The 23007-nt window shown below is 43.9% G+C and overlaps 2 protein-coding genes across 6 annotated transcripts in view, besides 3 other annotated features; both read left to right on the top strand.

Annotated features, from left to right (window-relative positions):
* HYDIN (HYDIN axonemal central pair apparatus protein) overlaps positions 1-16937 on the top strand; it is a 428639-nt gene extending 411702 nt beyond the window's left edge. Inside the window, exons 84-86 of the mRNA NM_001270974.2 lie at positions 449-679; positions 9014-9238; positions 10959-16937. Coding sequence (NP_001257903.1) covers positions 449-679; positions 9014-9238; positions 10959-11441 — 939 coding nt within the window. The 3' untranslated portion in view covers positions 11442-16937. The remainder of the gene's footprint in view (positions 1-448; positions 680-9013; positions 9239-10958) is intronic.
* Positions 17555-18177: an enhancer, noted in NCBI's record as "H3K27ac hESC enhancer chr16:70834747-70835369 (GRCh37/hg19 assembly coordinates)". NCBI's record gives its function as "activates a minimal SCP1, AML or CMV promoter by ChIP-STARR-seq in naive H9 embryonic stem cells {active_cell/tissue: H9 hESC(naive)}" and the evidence as "EXISTENCE:reporter gene assay evidence [ECO:0000049][PMID:30033119]".
* Positions 17828-17887: an enhancer, noted in NCBI's record as "active region_11070". NCBI's record gives its function as "activates an Ori minimal core promoter by ATAC-STARR-seq in GM12878 lymphoblastoid cells {active_cell/tissue: GM12878}" and the evidence as "EXISTENCE:reporter gene assay evidence [ECO:0000049][PMID:35858748]".
* Positions 17863-23007, top strand: part of VAC14 (VAC14 component of PIKFYVE complex) — a 113720-nt gene continuing 108575 nt past the window's right edge. For all 5 annotated transcript variants that reach the window (NM_001351157.2, NM_018052.5, XM_005256038.5 and 2 more), the window contains exon 1: positions 17863-18224. Coding sequence is in view for 4 of the 5 variants with exons in the window: in NM_018052.5 (NP_060522.3) it covers positions 18121-18224 (104 nt within the window). In the remaining variant the exon portion in view is untranslated. The remainder of the gene's footprint in view (positions 18225-23007) is intronic.
* Positions 17968-18157: a silencer, noted in NCBI's record as "silent region_7674". NCBI's record gives its function as "represses an Ori minimal core promoter by ATAC-STARR-seq in GM12878 lymphoblastoid cells {active_cell/tissue: GM12878}" and the evidence as "EXISTENCE:reporter gene assay evidence [ECO:0000049][PMID:35858748]".

Raw genomic sequence — 23007 nt, 5'->3', positions numbered from 1 at the left:
AATCACTTGAACCCGGAAGGTGGGAGTTGCAGTGAGCCGAGTCATGCCATTGCACTCCAGCCTGGGCAACAGAGTGAGACTCCTTCTCGAAAGAAAGAAAGAAAGAAAGCCCATTGAAAGTTACCTCAAAGGTCTCGCTTGTTTTCCAGAGCCGGCCAGCTGTCCCCACCAGGGAAGTGCTGGCGTTGGACAGTCCTGCTCTATCTAGCCTCTTCTAAAGCAAGCCCAGGCTATTTAATAATCTCTCATCTGGGAGGAGCCGGAATCCCTAACTAGAAAGTCTGGCTGGCAGGGATCCGGATAGGCTGCGAGCGTCCTGTCAGCCTGGTACCTGTGCTTCATGTGCCAAACAATGCTAAAAAAGAGAAGGAGGCTCTGAAAATGTGCAGAGGACCCTCGGCTCACCCCTACTCTTCCCTCCTTCCTCCCTCTCTCCCCGTGAATGCAGGTGATCTTCCGAAACGAGGTGACAAATGAGTTCTTGTACTACAATGTGAGTTTCAGGGTCATCCCTTCAGGCATCATCAAAACCATCGAGATGGTGACCCCAGTCCGGCAAGTTGCGTCAGCCTCCATCAAGTTGGAGAACCCTCTGCCCTACTCGGTGACCTTCTCCACGGAATGCCGGATGCCCGACATCGCCCTGCCCTCCCAGTTTGTGGTGCCTGCCAACTCCGAGGTACGGCCCCTTGGCTGTCGGGGGCTCCCTGAGAGCTGTGAGAGTGGCTTCCACCCATGAGATCTCTGGATCCACACTCTGCATCCCCAGAGGGTGGGCCAGCCCTGACAGTGGTCAGGAAGGCAGAGGACGGGACAATCACCCTCATGTTCCTTTTCTTGTTGCTAAAGTCCTCATAGGAGCTTGGGCACATCGTTTGGAATTCTCTCTTATGAACCTTGTCTCTGTGATTTGTTTGTTTTCTTTGTTCCAGCTAAAAGTATTTTTCTTGTTTTTTCTTAATTATAAAAGTAGTATAGAGTCCAGGTGCAGTGGCTCACACCTATAATCCCACCGCTTTGGGAGGCCAGGGACGGCAGATCACTTGAGGTCAGGAGTTTGAGACTAGCCTGGCTAACATGGTGAAACCCCATCTCTACTAAAAATACAAAAATTAGCCCAGCATGGTGGTGGGCGCCTGTAATCCCAGCTACTCGGGAGGCTGAGGCAGAAGAATTGCTTGAACCCAGGAGGTGGAGGCTGCAGTGAGCCGAGACTGTGCCACTGCACTGCAGCCTGGGCAACAGAGTAAGACTCTATCTCAAAATAATATAAAATAAAATAATAAAATAAAATAGTATAGAATAGGTGTGGTGAAAAGGAAAACAAGGGATGTAATAGTGTGCGCACACACACACTACTTCAGGAAGGAGCACAAGAAAACTTTGACAGTGGTTAGGAGTGCATGGCTGGAATTATAGAATTGTGAACTGGCAGGGAGAGGAACTTTCTGTGGAGTCTTTTTATCTGGTTATCACTCCAAACTCTCACTGTCCAGATTCTATCAACTCTCTTCTGTTTTTCCACCTTCAGCCCACCTGACGAGTTCCCCTCACTCCAGCTCCAGCTGACTTCCTTCTTCAGGCTGGTCATTTGTGTTGGTTTCAATGTCTAGTTATCCTGAAAAATGTGGCCATGGATCTCCTGGTACATGTATCCTCCCAATGCGCATAGGCATACGTTGTTCCACAGCATATGCCTAGGAGTAGAACCACAGGTCATAGAGTGTGCATAGCTTTCACTTTAGTAGGTAATTGCCAATTAGTGATGAGAGTTCCTAATGTTCAACGTCTTCACCAACCCTTGGTATTGTCGGGTTTTTTAAGGTTACTAATCTGATAAACTGCTAACTCCTCGTGGACTTAATTTCCCTTTTTACAAACAGATTGATTTCAGTTGGGTAATATTATATATAGGAGATCTGCATCTGTGTTCATGAGTGAGCTTAGACCACCGTTTTCCTCTCTCGTACTGTCTCTGTCCAGTTTGCATATCAAAGTTTTGCAAGCCATATAGAGTCAGGCATTTTCTCCCTTTCTGGATTCTGTGAGTTTACAAAAGATTGAAATTACGTCTTTCTTGAACTCACAGATGAAGCCACCTAGGCCTGGTGGGTTTTTGTATGTGTGGAGGTGGGAGAGATTGTCTGCTACTTATTTGTCTACTACTATTCAATTCCTTTAATGGGTTATTGGACTACTTAGATTTTCTGTTTCTTCTTGCATCAGTAATAAGACCATGTTCATTGCATCCATATATTAAAATGTTGGTATAAAGTTGTTAATGTCATATTACCTTTGTAATGTGACGTCGCTTTTTCATTTCTAATATTGGTTATTGTGCCTTCTCTCTGTTTCTTAGTCTTACCAGAGGTTTCTTTCCAAAATGCATCTTTTGTCTCCATTGTGACTCTATTGTATGCTTGCTTTCTGGTTACTTGATTTCTGCTCTTGTCTTTATTATTTCCTTCCTTCTGCTTCCTTTGGGATACTGGGGGCTTATTTAATTTCTAAGATGAAGGCTTAGTGCTTTGACTTCTAGTCTTCTTGATTTTCCAAGCTAGACATTTAAAATTATAAATATCTAAGTACTGCTTTAGCAGTTATACAAATTGTGATTGTAGTGTTTTTTATTCAGTTCAAAAAGGTTCTAATTTTTGTGATTAATACTTCTTTTTTAACTAATGGTTATTAGAAGAGTTTCTTAATTTCTGAACATGTGGATTTTTCTAGTTATTTTTTAAATTACTTTGTGATCTGAGAACATATTCTATATTATTTCAGTTCTCTAGAATGTGTTTAGACTTGTTTTTATGGCCCAGTGTGTGGTTTTGTGGGGTGGTTTTTTGTTGTTGTTGTTGTTGTTTATCCTCCATCTATTTTTTAAAAGGATGCGTTTGCCATTTTGAGGTTTATTTTTGAGACAGAGTCTCACTCAGTTAGCTGGAGTGCAGTGGCGCAATCTCAGCTCACTGCAGCCTCTGCCTCCCAGGTTCAAGCAATGCTCTTGCCTCAGCCTCCCGAGTAGCTGGGATTACAGGCGCACACCACTACGCCCTGCTAATTTTTATATTTTTAGTAGAGATGGGGTTTTGCCATGTTGGCCAGGCTCGCCTGAAACTCCTTACCTCACATGATCTGCCCACCTCAGCCTCCGAAAGTGCTACTGGGATTACAGGCGTGAGCCACTGTGCGCAGCCGGGTTCAATTTCCTGTATTCTTACTGACATTTTTGTCTGCTTTTTTTTTTTATCAGTTAAGAGAATACATTAAAGTATATCACTATGATTGTGGATCTGTTTGTTTCTTCTTGTAGTTTGTCATGTTTTGCTTCATATACTTTGAACTATATTTTGGTTAAGTAAAAATGATAGTATTTTTCTGGTAACTTGAAACTGTTTTCATTACGAAGTGATCCTCTTTGTCTCTACTAATGATTTTGCCTTGAAGATCATTTTGTCGGCTATTAATACAACTTTCTTCTGGTTAGTATTTGCATAGTGTATGTTTTAATTGTCATACTTTCAACCTTTCTGTGACCTTATAATTTAAATGTGTCTTTTATAAACAGCATATAGATGAGATAGATTTTAAGAGAAGGGGGTGGAGAGGGGATTGAGACAGGATCTCACTCTGACACCCAGGCTGGAGTGCAGTGGGTGATCACAGCTCACTGTAGCTTCAACCTCCCCAGGCTCAGGTGATCCTCCCAACTCAGCCTCCCGAGTAGCTGGCACTACAGGTGCGTGTCACCATACCCGGCTAATTTTTATATTTTTTTGTAGGCTCATCTCAAACTCCCCGGCTCAAGCAATCCACCCGCCTCAGCTTCCCAAAGTGCCGAGGCGGGTGGATTGCTTGAGCCCAAGAGTTACAGGTGTGAGCCACCACGTCCAGCCAGATTTGTTTTTTTAATCCATCCTAGCAATCTTTACTTTTCACTGGAGTCTTTATATTATTTGTATTTAATATACTGACATAGTCAAGTTTATATTCCCCCCTGTGCTTTCTCGTTATCTGGGCTGTTCTGTTTTCTTTTTCTCTTTTGTTTTGTAGATATCTCTTCCCATCTTGTCTTCACTGTTACTCACTCACATTCACTTTTTTAAGATGATAACTTTGTGTATAATTGTACCATCCTCCTTTTCCATTGCTTATGTTAGGTTTTTCCATACTCTTGGAAGGAGAAGGTAACCTGTGTATCTAAGGCTCTCTCCTCTGTTGTAACTGCAAAATGTTGATTTTTTTTTCAAATACAGCCTTATGCTTTTAAGATTTATTTTCTCTGCTCTCATCCCCACCTTTTTCTGAGCTCTATCTTTCCTTTACCCCTAGTGTCTCTGTTGTGGTCAAATAGATTCTACTTTCATAAATTTCTCTCAGTGCAGGAGTTTTATCTTAGAAAGGAGCTTCAGTCACTTGGTTTTGTGCATTCAAATGGCCTATACTGCCCCATATTGTCCAATCTTATCGCAACAGTTTTTGCAATTAACTATAAACTGGAGCCCGAAATATTCCTCCAGCTTAGGCTGCTATTGTCAAATTGTCCTATCGGGTTTTCCAGGTTTTGCCTGTTCATGCAATGTCAAGGGAAGAAAAGTTTTCCAGGTTGCATGAGAGCCCCCAATTCAGAGGCGATTCTGGGTTCTTGGGCTCTCGAGACTGATGCTGTTTTGCCTTCCTCCTGCTTTTCCTCTATAGTGGCTGATACCGCATCCATCTGCTAGCTGTTAGTAATTTGGTCCTACCCACTAGTATTTTGGGATTTGAGGGGTTACCTTTTCACTGAGTTTTGTTATAAATCGTGGCCATGTGTTCTTGCTGCTGTTAACCTAGTAGATCTGTGCATTTCGTGGGGAGATTTGGGGAGATACCAAACTACGCTGCTGCAATCATCTTGCCTAAAGCCTGAAATTGCTTTCATATGTGAGCAGAAGTCAAGTTTTCTTTTTTTCCAAATGGGTATAAATTGTCTCATACTGTTTTTACTTAAAAGGCCATCTTTTCCCCCACTGCTCTGCAGGGCCGTTTATGAAATAAATCAAGTTCATCTATGCATGGGTCTGTTCTAGCTTTTCTATGATATCATAATGATCTAATTACTGAATTTGTGCCAATATCAGAGCATCCTAATTACTACCTACTTAGAGTAAGGTTTGATGTCTGGTAAAGCAAGCAATTATTCCAGCTTTATGTTGAGACTTAGTAACCTCTTATATTGTTGTTCTGCTGGAGTATCTTAGCTATTCTTGGCCCTTTACATTTACATATCAATTTTGAAATCAGCTTGTCAAGTTCCTCAATAAAAAATAAAAAGAAAAGAAAAATAACCTGTTGGGATTTTGATTTGGATTACATTGAATCTATAGATTATTTTCAGAATATATTAGTTATTTGTTGATCTGTAACAAATGAACCAAAACTTAGCAACTTAAAACAACAGACATTTACTGTCTGCGCAGTTTCTGAGGATCAGGATTTAAGAGCAGCACCTTGGCCAGGTGGTTTGGGCTCAGGGTCTCTCAGGAGACTGGAATCAAGTTGTCAGCCAGGACGCTAGTCATCTCGAAGCATGACTGGGGCTAGATTTTCTGTCTCCAGACTCACTCATGTGGTTGCTGGAAAGGCCTTAGCTCCCTGCTGGCTGTTGGCTGGAGGCTTCAGTTCCTCACTATGCGGGCCTCTCCCTAGAGCTGCTTTCAACATGGCAGCTCGCTCACTTCCCCTAGGATGAGAGATCTAAGAGAAAGAGTGCACAAGAATAGAAGCCACAGGCCGGGCGCGGTGGCTCACACCTGTAATCCCAGCACTGTGGGAGGCTGAGGCAGGCGGATCACAAGGTCAGGAGTTCAAGACCAGTCTGGCCAACATAGTGAAACCCCATTTCTACTAAAAATACAAAAATTAGCCGGCCATGATGGCATGTGCCTGTATTCCTAGCTACTCAGGAGGGTGAGGCAAGTGAATTGCTTGAACCTGGGAAGCAGAGATTGCAGTGAGCCGAGATGGCAACACTGCACCCCAGCCTGGGTGACAGAGCGAGACTCTGTCTCAAAAAAATAAAAAAAGAATAGAAGCCACAGTCTTTCATCATTTAATCTCAGAAGTGACATGCCATCTTTTCTGCCATATACCAGTGGTCACACAGGTCAGCCCCTGGTATCATATGGGAGAAGACTACACGAGGCTGGGAATCCCCAGAGGTGGGGATTATTGAGGACCATCTTGGGCCTGTCTATCAGAAGGAGAATTAATATCTTTACAATATTGAGATTTCCAATCCACGAGCAAATCTCCACTTATTTAAGTCCTTTTTAATTTCTCTCAATAGCATTTATTTGGTTTTCTATGTAGAGACTTTATTCATCTTTTATTAGGCTTATTTCTAGGTTTTATATATTTTGATGCTATTACAAATAGTATCTTTTTAAAATTTCATTATTTGTTGTAAGAATATAGAAATATAATTGATTTTTGTGTATTGATTTTGTACCCCATCATCTTTTACAATTCACTTATTTCGGGTTTGTTTGTTTGTGACAGAGTCTCGCTTTGTCACCCAGGCTGAAATGCAGTGGTGTGATCAGGCTCACTGCAACCTCCAGCTCCCAGATTCAAGTGATTCTCATGCCTCAACCTCCTGAGTAGGTGGGATTACAGATATGCGCCACCATGCATGGCTATTTTTGTATTTTTAGTAGAGACAGGGTTTCACCATGTTGGCCAGGCTGGTCTTGAACTCCTGGCCTCAAGTGATCCTCCTGCCTTAGCCTCCCAAAGTGCTGGGATTACAGGCGTGAGCCACCACGCCTGGCTACAATTCATTTATTTTGTATAATGACTTTGTACCCAACCATCTTCTAAAATTCACTATGTTCAGGAGAAAGACTGGCATCCAATTTTTCTTTCTCCTATTATTGTTGGATTTTGGTATCAACTTTATGCTGGTTGGAACGGGTTCCCTCTTAGTCTTTTCTCTGAAAGAATTTGTGGAATACTAGTATTCTTTCATCCTTGATTGTCTGGTATAACTTACGAGTAAACATTTATGAACCTGAATTTCTTTAAGGATTTTTTTTACTATTGATTACATTTCTCTAGTGGTTATATTAATAGAACTAAGTGGATTTTCTATATGTTCTTGGGTCTGATTTTTTTTTTTTCCCAAGATGGAGTTTTGCTCTTGTGGCCCAGGCTGGAGTGCAATGGCGTGATCTCGGCTCACCACAACCTCTGCCTCCCGAGTTCAAGCAATTCTCCTGCCTCAGCCTCCCGAGTAGCTAAGATCACAGGCATGTGCCACCACGCCCAGCTAATTTTGTATTTTTAGTAGAGACGGGGTTTCTCCATGTTGGTCAGGCTGGTCTCAAACTCCCAATCTCAGGTGATCCGCCTGCCTTGGCCTCCCAAAGTGAGGTCTGTTTTTATAGGTTATATTTGTTTATACACATGTCTATTTTATCTAGTTTTTAAATTGTGGTAAAATTATCTAAATTCTTATACTATATTCTTTTTTGTTAAACAACTATAACTTCAGCGATATCCTCTTTTTATTCTGATATTTTTCTTTTTTAAAAAACTTTTTTAGAGATGGGGTCTCACTGCGTCTTCCAGGCTGGAGTGCAGTGGTATGATCATAGCTCCCTGCAGCCTTAAACTCCTACAATCAAGGCCTCCTCCTGCCTCAGCCTCCTGAGTAGCTAGGACTACAGGTGTGTGCTGCTACACTCAGCTAATTTTGTTGTTGTTGTTGTTGTTGTTGTTTGTAGAAACAGGCTCTCGCTATGCTGCCCAGGCTGGTCTCAAACTCCTGGGCTCAAGTGATCTTCCTGCCTCACTCACCCAAAGCACAGGTGTGAGCCACTGAGCCCAGCCTCTGATATTTTTCAATAAGAACTAGTTATTTTTTTAAATACTTACTCATAGTAAAACCAAATTTTACCTATATAAAAGTATATGAAATTGAAAATAAGTCTCCAGAATCCCATTTTCCCACCCTAACATAACTACTGGTAACAGTGTGGTATATATTCTTACAGTCTCTTTCTATACATCCATAGACATATTCTTCACAAAAAAGAGCTCATACTATATATGCATTTCTGGAACCTGCTTTCTTCCACTTAAAATATCATCAACATCAACACCTTTCATTTCGATGTGTATTGCTCTACACCTCTGGTTTTTTTTTTGAGACGGAGTCTCACTCTGTTGCCCAGGCTGTGGACTAGAGTGACACGATCTTGGCTCACTGCAACCTCTCCTTCCCGGGTTCAAGTGATTCTCCTGCCTCAGCCTCCCGAGTAGCTGGGACTACAGGTGCGCACCACTGCGCCCAGCTAATTTTTCTGTTTTTTTTAGAAATGGGGTTTCACCATGTTGGTCAGCCTGGTTTCGAACTCCTGACCTTGTGATCCACCCGCCTCAGCCTCCCAAAGTGCTAGGATTACAGGCATGAGCCACCGCACCAGGCCCCGCTCTACCTCATCCTTTCTAGTGGCTACACAATATTCCACTGAAATGAGAAAACTGTAATTTGTTTAACTAATCTTCTACTAATAATACATTCGAATTGTTTCCCTTGTTTTGCTATATAAGAAATGCTTTCTGTTCTTGCTTTGTTTCGCCATGGGTAATAATGGAGGATGGCAGAACCCAGGACGCTGTTCTGAGATTGGCCATGAGCAAAGAAGGAGCTGCCTAAGCTTCAGCCCTCCTACTGGCAGCACTCACCCATCTCCACATCTCCCTATGTGCGCTTCTCAGGAGACAGTCCAGCACCTGCACTTAGATTCATAGAGATCCCAGATATAGAATCACCTGAACTAGAGAAAGCTAGGAGAGGTACAGGGGAGAGAGGGTGGGCTGGTTTGGACAGGTTCCCCAGGAGCAAGAACAGCATGATCATGTGCACTATTTCTGCCCCCAACCTGCTATGGAGCCTTGGGCAGGTCTCTAGGTGGCAGGTGATGAATTAGCCTTTCAGCATGACAGGATCCTCTGTTTTCTCTTCCAGGGCACGTTCTCATTTGAATTTCAGCCCCTGAAAGCTGGAGAAACCTTCGGAAGACTAACTTTGCACAACACTGACTTGGGTTACTACCAATATGAGCTCTATCTGAAAGCCACGCCAGCACTTCCGGAAAAGCCTGTTCACTTCCAGACTGTCCTTGGCAGCAGCCAAATCATCCTTGTGAAGTTCATCAATTACACACGGCAGAGGACAGAATACTACTGCAGGGTGAGTGGCCCCTGCTCTACCTTCTGCCCTTCCCTCACATGAACGCTGGGTTCAAAAACAATGAGAGGAGACACAGGGAGCATGAATGTGAGACTCAGAGAGACTCAGGTGCTTCGTTGTCATGGTGACACCTGCCTCAGAGGCCTGAATCTAGCCTGGAAACTCCCAGCTAGAAACAAACAGCACCAGGCCTGGGTTCTTCCATTACAGACTTTCTGTCTTAACAAGCTGTGATGGAGTGTAGGGGAGTTTTGTTTCACACAGCACGCCCAGTGATCCACAGAGGGAGACAGTATAGCTTAGTAGTCATGGTATCGGCTGTGGAATCAAACAGACATGGGTTTGAGTCCTGGCTTCACCACTTACTCTTTGTATGAATAATTTGCTTAAGCTCTCTAAGCTTATTTATAAATGGGGATAATACCCCCAACCTTGCAGGATTGCTATAAGGATTTTAAATATGTATCTAAAGCCATTTTCTTAGAGCCTAGCCTATAGTAAGTGCTCCATATACATTAGCTGTTACATCAGTTGGAATATAGGTTCAACTACTAAAACAGAAACCCAAAGCTAGACACAGTGGTTCACATCTGCAATCCTAGCACTTTGGGAGGCTCAGGTGGGAAGATCGCTATAGCCAGGAGTTGAAGACCAGCCTGGGCAACATAGCGAGACCTCATCTCTATTTAAAAACATAAAATAAAATTCTAAAAAACAGAAACCACAAATAACAGCAAATTAGGTGTTGGTTTCTCTCACAAATAACAGTCTGGGCATAAGCAGTTTGAGCTGGAATGGCAGCTCGCTGACACCAGGCACCCAGACATCTTCTGTCCCGATGCTCTGCCCTCTGAAGGGAGCTGTTTTGGTCCACGTGGGCCAAGATGGTTTATCAGGACATCCACATTCCAGCCAGCTACAAGGGAAGAGGGGACAGTTGTATATATCACCTCTACTAATATTCCATGGAACAAAACTTCACAGGACCACACCTATCAACAAAGGAGCTAGGAAAGGTAGCTTTTGTACTGGGCAGTCACATGCCCAGGTAAAATCAGAGATCTTGTGGCTGTAGCCAAGAGGCAGAGGCTCTTGATCAGTTGTATCAGCCAAGAGATGCTAGGTTAGGTGCAGTAGCAATCACAGGGGCTTAAGATGAAGGCTTGTTTCTCATTTGAGCAATTTTCCAGAGAGGCCAGCAGGGGACCCTGCTCATCTCAGTCTCTTGGGATTCAAGCACCATCTCAAATATTTCCAGTACAGTATTAGAGTGGTGAAAGGACCCTGACAGGAGTTAAATTGGCAATGAAAGGCTCTAGCATGGAAGTGACACCTTTCACTTCTGCTCACAGCTAGTTGTCTGGAACTAGCACCACCCATCTGCAAGGAACCAGAATGTTTGGTCTTCCATGTACATGGAAGGAAAGAACCGAATATAGGGGATCAGCATCCATGACTGCCCTATTAACGTAATGTGGCTGTGTGTCTCAGTACACATTATTAACATCTCTTTGCCTTTGTTTCTTTGTAGCAAAATAGAAATAATAATTAGTAATACCTACCCTACAAGGGAGTTATAAGGACACAACTTTATAACATTCCCAGTCTCACACAGACATAGTTGCTTGATGTCCAGGAGTGGAGGGGCTGGGGTAGACTTGAGCTCCTGGTGTGCTCTTCAGGATCTCACGTGAGCTGAGTTTGTTTGTTCCCCTTTCAGACCGACTGTACAGACTTCCACGCAGAAAAACTCATTAATGCAGCCCCAGGAGGCCAGGGAGGCACTGAAGCCAGTGTGGAAGTCTTATTCGAGCCCAGCCACCTGGGTGAGACCAAGGGCATCCTGATCCTATCATCGCTCGCAGGTGGAGAGTATATCATCCCCCTCTTTGGAATGGCTCTGCCTCCCAAGCCCCAAGGTCCCTTCTCGATCCGAGCCGGGTACAGCATAATCATCCCCTTCAAGAATGTCTTCTATCACATGGTGACCTTCTCCATCATCGTGGATAACCCAGCCTTCACCATTCGCGCTGGAGAGTCTGTGCGGCCCAAGAAGATCAACAACATCACAGTCTCCTTTGAAGGAAACCCATCTGGCAGCAAAACCCCCATCACCACCAAGCTGACTGTGAGCTGCCCTCCTGGTGAAGGGAGTGAGACTGGAGTTAAATGGGTTTATTATCTGAAGGGGATCACCCTTTAGTGGTAACCAGGGTTACCTGTATCAACCAAAAGCTATGCATTGTCTTAGCCTGAAAAAGAATAGAGAAAACAATAAGAATTCTAAAGGAACTGTTTTTATTCTTCTCATACAATTATAGGGCAGTTATTTCCCTATTATGTGTTTTCCAAATATAGATATGAAATATCTATTCCATATTAAACATTATAACTACACACAACAGCTCTATATTTTAGACAACTGAATCCTTGTGAGTCCCTAAATTGAGTTTCTTGACATAGCCCCAAAGCTCAAGTACTTTGTAATAATTCCCATTTTTATCAAGAAGGCACAGGTATCACACTAGTGACCTTCTACTCTACAACACTTAGCAATGCGTGACGCTGGGTACTGCAGTTTCTTTTTAAAATCCAAAATGGTTTAAAAAGCCCTTAGACATGACTATTTTGATGTGGCATTTTATTCTGCTTTCACATAAAAGCCAAATAAATATTTTCAGAGGGATGAGCAGATAACATTAGGGCAATCCAGGGACACTCCCATCACTTTTTCTCTTGGCTTTTATACCATCAGTGTCCGAATCCCACATCTGCCCTACACAGAAAGTTCTCACTGAAGTCTAGGCCCTGGAGAAAGGCTAATAGAGATCCCAGCTCCCCCCACCACACATACACACCCCGCCTTGGATAGCATTCAGCAGGAGAGCAGGGATTCTCAACCCATCTGCACATCAGGACCACCTAACTCTCACTCTGAACGTGCCCAGTCCCCATCTGATGTAATTGGTCTGGAGAGGGGTGTGGGCATCTTTATTATATACATTTAACTTGTATAGCAGATGGTTAAAGTCTGGCCCTGGCATGGGTTTGCTTCTGCAGACATACACCTCTGACGGAGGGTCCCCCTGCCTCTACCTGCTCCCCACACTCATCCCCCACAGCCCTCCTACAAGAGGGGCAGGAGACTGGAAGAAGATGGCCTCTTGGGAATGAATGCCGTAAAGAAGTGGGTCTTAAAAATGGTCCCTGGGCCAGCAGCAGTACTATCACCTGGGAATTTATTAAAAGTCAAACTCTCAGTCCCCATGTCAGATCGACTGAATCAAAAAGTCTGTAGGTGTGGCCCGGCAATCTTTTAGCAAGTCCTTATACCTGTCAGAGGTGGCTTTCATGGAGGGAGACTCTTCTCCTTCTTCTGTACCTCCCCACAACCCTAGCCCAGTATACTCTAGGACCAAAAAAGCTTTTTCTAGAATGTCTGTAAACACAGACCTTTACAATAGTCCTCCCTCATCCTCAGGGGATACATTCCAAGGTGCCCAGTAGATGCCTGAAACCACAGATAGTACTGAACACTCCATATACTGTGGTATTTTCCTTTACATACATACCTTTGATTAATTTATAAATTAGGCACAGTAAGACATTAACAATAATAATAATAAAATGTAATAATTATAATAATATGCCAGCATCACTACCCATGTGCTTTGGGGCCATTATTAAACTAAATAAGGTTTCCTTGAACACAAGCATTGCGATCCCATGACAGTTGACCTGCTAACCCCAAGTCATCTACTCAGTGACTATCAAGTAGGTTGTGTCTACAGCATGCATACGCTAGACGAGGGGATGATTCACATCCTGAGCAGGATGGAGTGGGATGGCATGAGATTTCCTCAAGTTATTCAGAACAGCATGCCATTTAAAAAGTATGAATTTTTTATTTCTGGAATTTTTCATTAAATATTTTCATTCCACAGTTGACCACAGGTAACTGAAGCCATAGATGAGGAGGACTGCCATACTCAATAGACAATTTATTTCTATAACCTCTAAAGACACTACTGATAGGTCTAAAGACAACCAGATGACAGATTTTCACAATGGTTAAGTGAGCAAAGATCGCTCTGACCAATAATCTGAGAGGATGCTAAGATCAATGAGCAAGAGTGATGACTTGCAAATATACAGCATCTGTATAAAGTCAGTGCTTCTGAAATATTAGTATACATCAGCATCCCCTGGAGGGCTTACTGAAACAGATTGCTGAGCCCCACCCTCAGGAAGTCCGATCTAGGAGATTTGGGTGGGGCTTGAGAATCTGCATTTCTAACCAGTTCTTGGTGATGCTCGTTGGTGAGACCAATCAGACTGTGAGAACCACGACTCTAAAGCCTCGAGCCTCCTGGTTATTCGGAGTGGCCTATGGACCTGCAGCATCAGCATCACCTGGGAATTTGTTAGAAAGGCAGGCCCTCAGGCCCCACCCTAGACTTGTTGAATCAGAATCTGCATTTTCATGGACCTCCAGGCGATTTGCATGCACATTGCAGCTGAGAGTGCTACTTTAAGGTACCTGGCAAAACTTGACATTTGCCAAACCCACAGCCATAACTCTTTCATTACAGTCCTGAGAAGTCTTACCAAATCTGCATAGGACCTAGTTGATGAAATTAACCCTCCCCAAAATGTGCCTCCTTCCACCTATTCACCAGAGGTATAGGTTAGGAGAAGGGAAGCAATTGGTCCCTCACCCTACTCTTCAAAAGGGTGTACTTTTTCAATAATGGTCAATGTGGTACACCAAGTGATCCCTAAGACTAAAGAAAAGGTGGAAGAAGCTGTCTGAAATCTTGTCTAACATGCCACCAGCCCCAGCATGGCTTATAGCCAGCCTTGGGGTGGCTAGGGGCAACTCCCCCAACTTCAGACCTGTTCCAGTGCTTCCCCAAGCCACTGAAGCTGTCCATATACATTTTATAAAAGTGATCAGGGAGAAGGGAGGGGGAGAAACAAAAACGAACCCAGGTTGCAGCACACTCAGCATTAATCACTAGATCAGCCTGCGCTCAGACCTGCTTCCTCATAGCTGTTTGGTGCCTGCTGTTTCAGAATCACGTAGACCCTGCTAAAGATCATAGTTCCCCTCAATGCTCTGGAGATAACAACTTGAACATTAGGAAACGTTAAGTTTTCCGTTTGAGATATTTATTCTTGGTCCTGTGTACCAGTGAAACAACTGACATCAGCTGATCTGAAGGACCTCACGAGAAGCTGATTCACCAAAGAATGCGGTTTCCACATCCTGATGATTTCATCCGTCTTACCCAACCAATCAGTCACCTGGTTTTTCAGCCCTTCACCCTCCAGGATCCCCTTAAAAACCCCAGTCCAGAACTCTTCCGGGAGATGGATTTGAGGGTCTCCTCCCATCTCATCACTCAGTGACCTTTGATCATCACTTTCTCTGCTGCATCCCCACTGTCTCTGTGCATTGGTCTGTTACTGCACAGTGGGCACACAAACGTGTTGGTCCTATAACACCACTGAGTCTAGGGTCCAAATCCTCCTAGCCCCTGAGAGAGGAGGAAGTTCCTTCTCCCTGGGACCAAGAGCCAAGCTCAGATCCTGCCCCAGTGTGAACCCTCTTCCAGGCTGGTTTGAGATTGGGTGCATTTCTTCCCTTTAGGTTTTTCTCGTGCTTCCTTAGCCTCAAACAATAACAAAATAGTCTTATATTAGCAAATTTGGAATGGCAAAGTAGCTTAACAGCAGGCTTGATGAAAATAACCCTTCCAACACATGCTTGTGGAAGTTACATTGGAGAATCCATTCTCAGCAAAGCAGACCAGGAGACTTCTAACTGGGGGATGTTCAGAAAATGTCAGGGTAGCTGTGTGGCAGAACTCCAAGGAGCACTGTGCACAGAATACCATGGGAATGGGGCTCCCTGGCCTCGTTCCACACTGGGCCCCCAGTGAGTGTGGCATGCTAAGTCTAACCACTTCTTTAGGAGCCTCAAGTCAGAGGTGACAATACTGTAACATTGGTGAGGGCCTGCTACATTTCAAGACCTCTACCTAATACCTTAAACCCTGTTGCCCTGAAACTCCAGCTACAATTACATTGCTGTTGGAGAAACTGCTTTGCACAGTTCAAGATTTTGGTACAATTTCTTACAATGTCATCAGCAGCCTCTTGCTACAAGTTATGTCATAACTTTTACATACTTGTAATAGCTATTATGAATAGTTGTTACAGAACTATTACAAGTTCTAGCATAACAACCAAGCATCACACAGATGCAGATGAATTGTAACTGTGAAATAATGACTAGTATGCAGTCAGGCACATCAGTTATCCCCTAGTCTAGAAGAGTTTCAACAGGAATGGTCACAGGTCAGAGAAGAGGAACAAGGGTGGAAGGCAAGGGTAGCCTTTGGGCTTTATTTTTACCACCACTGCTAGCTCAATTATGCATAAATAATCTTACCTAGTTGGCATTTTTCAAGATATTAGAGAAAAGAACCACTTCTTTCTAGGAACTTCTGACCTAAAGGTAGGCATTGGTCTGGGCCTTGAATAAAAAACTGGTTACTTAGCAACCTGAGCCAGAATATAATTTCAGGAGAAAAGAATACTTCTGGTAAAAAAAAAATTCCTTATTGTTTGAATTATTAAAAACTGTATCATTACCCTTGGGAAATTCAGTTCACCTCTAAGAAAAAGCCAAACCAAAAAGCAAAAGAAACATGAAATATATTAGATATGCGTCCCGTGGAAATGCACACACATTGGAGAAATAGAACCAAATCATTCCCATTGATTTACATTTTTTCAGTGTTTTTCATCAACCATCATCAAAATCCTAAAACCAAACTTTGCAAGACATTTGGAGATGTCCTTGGCAGCACTACTACTACTTGTTAGCGCACCTACCTTCATTCATAGGATTGTGTCAGCAAAGGTTTTAACAACTATGAAAACCCCACCTGTATAGGAGAATACATTTTTTATGGATTTTTCTAGACATGATATATCCATGACTTGCCGAGTTTTGGATTAGCCTTTGTATTCATTTTCTATGGCTGCATAACAAATTACCACAAAACTAGGAGAGCAAAACAACACAAATTTATTATCTCACAGTTTCCATGGGTTGAGAGCCCAGTGTGAACTGGATTCTCAGCTCAGGGTTCCACAAGGCTGAAATCAAGGTGCTGGCCAGCTGCATCCTCATCAGGAGGCTCAACTAGGGAAAGATCTGCTTCCAAGGACCCTCAATGTGTTGGCAAAATTCATTCCTTTGTGGCCATATGACTAAACTCCTTACAGGAGAGTCTCTCTTCCAGTTCAAATTTCTTCTAATCTCTTTTAAGTACTCACTTGATTCGGTCAGGCCGACTCAAGTTAATCTCTCTTTTTATTAATTCAATGTCTGCTGATTAGGGACCTTAATTACATCTGCAAAATCTCTTCTGCGATATTACATAATATAATCATGTGAGTGATGCATAGCCCATCATATTTACAAGTCTTGTTCACGCTGAAAGAGGGCATAATACAGGGCATGAACACGAAGGGGTGGGAATATTGGAGGTCATCCTAGAATTCTGCCTACTTTTGCCCTTTACTCATTGCGTCCCTGTTTCTGTTGAGGAAAATACTCCATTTTCAAGACTGTTATAAGGCCTATATATGCACTTTTCATTCATTAAAGAAAAGTATCACCATGCATTCTGAAACTGTTATTCTTTGAGCTCCACTGTAATCTAGCCCTTGTCCTAAGTCCCTGTTCACTCTGAAAGCTTATGATAGGAAAGGCTGATGCACCTCCCTGTTAACTGCATGTTTACCACACTCCGGCCATAAATTGCTTTTAAATATTTTGCCACATAGTTGGGATTTCTGTCTCACCATGTAATGTGATTCCCGAAGCAGCTGAAGGGGCTGCTTTCCAGGGGACCTATCTAGAGACCCGCACTCAGCAGATCTGGGGCCTTTCTCTCTGTCTGTAACCAGCCCTCCTAGGCATCAGAGCATGTTAAACACACCCCCAAATGGTGGAGTGACAGACACTGGTGGTACCTGAGATCTTAGGTGGTAGACAGGTAGTGCCATTTTTAATTGAGAATTTATTTTGATGTGTCTTAGAAAAAATATACCTATTCAAACTCATGGTTTTAGGGCATAAGCAAAGCTAAAAGAGATTTAAGGTATTTTTTAAAGTGAGTTGATTTGAGGAAAACATTAAATAGATAATACAAGTGGCTAGAATATGGTGAAAGTGATGACAGTGTTACTGCAGTTAGGGAAACGTCTGCATCTAGGAAATTGGTAAGTGACCAACTACTGAATGAACTAGTGAATTCGGTGACTATTGAATAAATTATGTTAAGTGAATCAGACTCCAAGAACCCATTCGGTCTTACGAACGTCTACAGAAGCCCACCACGTGCCATCAGTTGGGCGTGAGCTACACACCCATTAAAGCACGTCTCAAACCACACTCCAGCTACCTGGCGCGCAGCGCGATAGTGTGTGCAGTGTGGGTGGAGCCTTCCGAGGGCGTGGCCAATCCACCTGCGGCCTGCGGTGGGGGCGTGGCTGGAGAGGGGCGGGCCCTCGCGACGGAAGGCGGAAGTGCTGTAGAGTCATGTGACTCGAGTAACATGGCCGCTGTCTCGTGAGTCCCGCTAGTGCCGGGCGGGAGTTGTTAAGCGGCCAGGGTCAGGTGTGCTGGAGCGGGGTCCGGGCCCGGGTTCCAGGGCGAGGCGGCGGAGCGTGGCAGGCAAGCCTAGAGCGGCGTGGTCCATGCGCCGGCGCCGGGGGCAGAGCGGAGCCGCAGACTCCCCTGGCCCCGGCGCGGCCCCGGCAGCCGCGGGCTAAGGAGTCGCGAGGTTCCCCCAGCTGCCACCATGAACCCCGAGAAGGATTTCGCGCCGCTCACGCCTAACATCGTGCGCGCCCTCAATGACAAGCTGTACGAAAAGCGGAAGGTGGCAGCGCTGGAGATCGAGAAGTAAGAGCCGCCAGGACCCCTCCCTGGCTATGCAGCCCCTGACTGCTCTGCTCCCCAGGGGGACTTCTCACGCCTTCCCAGCCAGGGTTACTTTCCCAGGTTTTAGGCCCTTACCTTAGCGCAGTGTTTAAGAGCAGATTGGGAGCCATATCTGGGAGTCCCTGCTTTACTCCTGACTGGCTGTGTGATTTGGTCCCAGCTTTTTAACCTCCCGGTGCCACAAAGGGCTGCAGTGAGAATGAAGTGACATCATGTATGGGTAGTGCTTTGCACAGTGCATGGCACATGGTGAGTCTTCGGTGCGGTGCCACCCAAACCAGCAAATCAGAGAGTTGTCTCTGTGGTGAGAGAGAAGTCAGAAGCCGGAGAATTTGCAGGTGATGCTGACCAGCCTGGTTTCTTACCCAGCTTCTGAGAAGTGAAGGAGATTGTTAGTGACCAAGTAGAGAAATCAGGTCGGAAAACTCGTGATCTCAAGGCTCAGAGAGTTTTTTGTTTTATCTGTGTTATAACACCCTTCCCTGCAAGTGGAAGTAGAAATAATTTGACCTTTCTTGCTTCTGCAGTCTTGTTACATGTATGTGTAACAATGATCTGATATTTTACTTTATTTCCCAATGTACAAAACAGCGAAAGTTTAACTGGGGATGTTTTATTTATTTTTTTTTCTGCAGTATTATTTTACTTTTGTGGGTTTTTTCCCAGTCACATTTTAGTGTTAAAGTCAAGTGAGTGAGTGATTTCAGAAAATTGGAAAGAAGCAGGCTGTGAAACTGGAAGAATACCAGTCTGCGAGTCAGAAAAGGTGAATTGTATTTCTGTTCTGTCCAGTAGAGTAGCCGTTGGCCGTGCGTAGCTATTATAAATTTAAATTATTAAAGATTAAACTTTAGTTTCTCAGTCACACTACCCGTATTTCAAGTGTTCAATAGCCACATGTAGCTATTGGCTGCTATATAGGGCAGCACAGATTATAGACTGTTTCCATCATTGCAGAATGCTCTATTGGACTGCTCTAATCTATTCCGTGGTGTGACATTCATTCGTTAACCTGGGGCAAATTCCTTAACTCAGGGTTTCTCAGCCTCTGCACCATTCACATTTTGGGGCAGATGATTTTTGGTTGTAGTGGGCTGTCCTGTGCCTTGCAGGATTTTTAACAGCGTCTCTGACCTCTTCCCACTGGATGCCAGTAGCACTCCATCCGTTGTAACAATCAAAAATGTCTTCAGACATTGCTAAATGTCCCCTGAAGGAGCAAAATTGCCCCGGTTGACAACTGCTGCTTGCAATCCAAATCAAATGTTGCTTTGGATTTTAGTTTCCTCCTAAACTAAAGGGTTCGGACCTTGATAAGAAATCCCCCACCCTGCCTCCATTCAGCTCTCATACTCAGTATGTCCACAACCATCTAGCTGCTTCTCTCATCAGACACCACTTTCTTGACTGCTCCTTTTATATAGCTTTTTGTTTATGCCTGACTCTCACGAATGCTAGCAAGTCTTATTGCACATTGCCATACTGAATAGAGGGACCCAGAAATGATATATAGGCATGGTTCCGTGTCCATGGGGTTTTGTTGGCTTTGAAGTTGCCTTGACACCTAGTTTTGTCCCTCACCCACTCTGCTTCTCAGGAATATCCGGTTTTATTGTAGCTTGAGTCGTCTGTTGAGTCCTTGAAGAGAGAGGTATTCATCTCAACATTATTGTTGCTTCCAGCGCAACCTGTGTATCTGTTCTCACTCTGCACACAGTTCTGTAAGGGTTTTGTCTTTGATCGAGTTCATTTTGTATTGGACATTGCCCTTGATTTGTGGAATTTAGAGAAACTCAGCAGTGCCTTGACTGTGAACTCCTTAAGAGCAGAGAGTTCTGTTTATGTATCTGTTTTATTTATCCTTAGCACTTAGCCTGGCAGCACTTGACAGCTGGTGTCCGAATAAATGAATGACCGTACATTTTCGGTGGGGAAATAACATTGCAGGCTCAGGACCTTGCTGCCCAAAAGCGTGGCCTACAGACAGCAGCATCAGGATCACCTGGGAGCTTGTTAGAGGCTCTGCAGCTTTGCTCCAGACCTATGGAATCAGAATCTGCATTTTAACAAGATCCCTGGGTGATTTGTGTGCACATTAAAGTTTGAGAAGCACTGGCCTCAAAGACCCTCTCATCTGTTTCCAACCTTCTCCAGTCATGCTTAGAATGAAGAATGGCTGGTTAGTTCAATGCCTTCCTCAGAACATATGCTTCACAAATTGCTTAGAGATAGATACTGACTTACTTATCTGTGCTTCACCAGCACCAGCATTTTGCTTGTCTGAGCACTTTCTATGTGTCAGGTACACATAGGATATTGTATGTTTTAATATATTCTTCATTTGGCCTGGTCAAAGTGACCCTCAGCAAACACAGACTATTAATTAATCTCTCATTAATCAGACTGCAGATGCCCAACAAAAGAAGAGTCCGAATATTGGCAGTTATCTATGTAGTGTAAATGAGTCAGTTCATGTGCTCCCTAAATGAAAGTGCTTAGTCCTGTTCTTAGGTAAGTTGCCCCTTTAAGATACCCTATTTCCTGAGAGGCTGCGTGGCATGGTGTTTAAGAGCAGGCTCTGGAACTGGGGTTCAAGCTCCCATTTACTGGCTAGGTGACCCTGAGCAAGCTAATTAACCTCTGTGCCTCAATTTCTTCATCTGTAAAAAGAGCATAATAATAATATGCATAGAGTTGTTTGAGCTAATGTTGTAAAGTGCTGTGTTAGTCTGTTCTTGCTCTGCTATAAACAAATACCTGAGACTGGGTAATTTATAAAGAAAAGAGATTTATTTGGCTCACGGTTCTGCAAGCTGTACAGAAAGCATAGCGGCTTCTGCTTCTGGCGGGGCCTCAGGATGCTTCCAATCATGATGGAGGGCAAAGAGGGAGCAAGGCGTCCCACATGGCGGGAGCAGGAGCAAAAGAGAGTGAGCAGGGAGGTGCTGCACACTTTCAAACAACCAGATCTCTTGAGAACTCACTATCACAAGAACAGCACCAAGAAGATGGTGCTAGGCCATTCATCATCATGGGAGAAATCCACCCCCATGATCCAGCCACCTCCACCAGGCCCCATCTCCAACACTGGGAACTACAGTTGAACAAGAGATTTGGTGGGGACACAGATCCAAACCATATCAAGTATTTAGTGTAGTAGTGGGCACATTGTAATTGTTACAAACTGTATACATAGAGAGAGAATTGTTATGTAATTGCCCTAATTATTTCTAACATACGTATATCACATAGTTGTCATCTGTCAGTACTGCTGTTACCACTTTTTGGTAGGGAGAATGATAGCCTCCTATATTTGCCCCATGCTAATCCCTGGAGCCTGTGAATATGTTATGTTACACAGCAAGGGGGAATTAAGGTTGCTAATCACTAACCTTAAAAATAGAGAGATTATCCTGTATTATCGAGGTGGGCCCAATGTAACCCTAACCAGAAGAGTCAGTGTCAGAGTGATGTGATGTAAGAAAACTTACCCGGATCATCACTGGCTTTGAAGATGGAAGGGAACCACCAGCCAAGGAATGCTGGCAGCCTCTAGAAGCTGGCAAGAAAATGGATTTTCCCCTAGAGCATCACAAAATAACATAGCCTGCCAACATCTTGATTTTAGCTCAGTAAGACCCATAGTAACAAATGCGTTGTTCTTGAATTTTTTTAATTTTTTAATTTATTTTATAGAGATGGGGGTCTCACTATGTTGCCCAGGCTGGTCTTGAACTCCTAGGCTGAAACAATCCTCCCACTGCAGCCTCCCAAAGTGCTGGGATTACAGGCAAGAGCCACTGCCCCAGCCTGGTGTCTCCTTTTATGAGGACACTGATCCTATGGAATCAAGGGCCCCACCCTTAGGACCTCTTTTAACCTTAATTACTTCCTTATAGGCCCTCTCTCCAAATCCAGTCACACTGTGGATCAGAACTTCAATATATGAATCTGGGGGTTGGGGGACTGTTCAGTCCATCACAGTGATCATAGTGAAGCCTGGGAGTGCACGTATATAAAGTGCTGTCTGCCCCATTTTGGATGGTTGGGAGGATATAGAAAAGCTTCCTTTGGTTTGGCCATGGTATACCCCTCATCTCATTTATTTTGCATCGCTGCCCTATGGGCGTGGTGGTGTTACCCTGTTTCACAGATGAGGAAACAGGCTCCTTGAGGTTAAGTAATCTTCCCATGGTTTCACAGCTAGAACCTAGCAAGAAAACTCAGGTTCATGTGTCTCAGAAGACGTCCCCACTGCATGACTGGTTTTCCCTACCAGAAAGGGGACATACTTATAATAAAAGGAATTTGATACTTGAAATTCTCCACAGTGGTTTTAGCTGCCACTTTCAGTTCTACAGAGCTCAGGTGACAGAGCCAGTCCTGCCTATGGTGTTCCAGTGAGGCATTAAAACCACTAATAAGAGGGGATTGTATCATGATGACAGGCCTCTCAGACACTAAAAATGCAGAGATGGATGCTTGCCTCAACTGAAGGACCCCCAGATCCAGAATCTTAAGACCACCAGTGTGGTGTTAAGTGACCACACTAACTGTCTAAGTGTTGGGATCCAGTTGTACAAAGTTCTGGAGAACTTTTGCCCCTACAACCTTATTCCCACAGGACCACACAATTTCCTATAGGATAAGGCAGTCAGGTTAGGATTTTTATCATGGCTGTTGCCGGTTTTGTGGGTTTTCAATTTTAATATAGTCATTGATCAGTCGTAATGAAAAGGGTGGG

Source organism: Homo sapiens, chromosome 16 (genome assembly GCF_000001405.40).
Source record: "Homo sapiens chromosome 16, GRCh38.p14 Primary Assembly".
Taxonomy (NCBI): Eukaryota; Metazoa; Chordata; class Mammalia; order Primates; family Hominidae; genus Homo; species Homo sapiens.
This window is presented reverse-complemented; position numbering and strand designations above follow the sequence as displayed.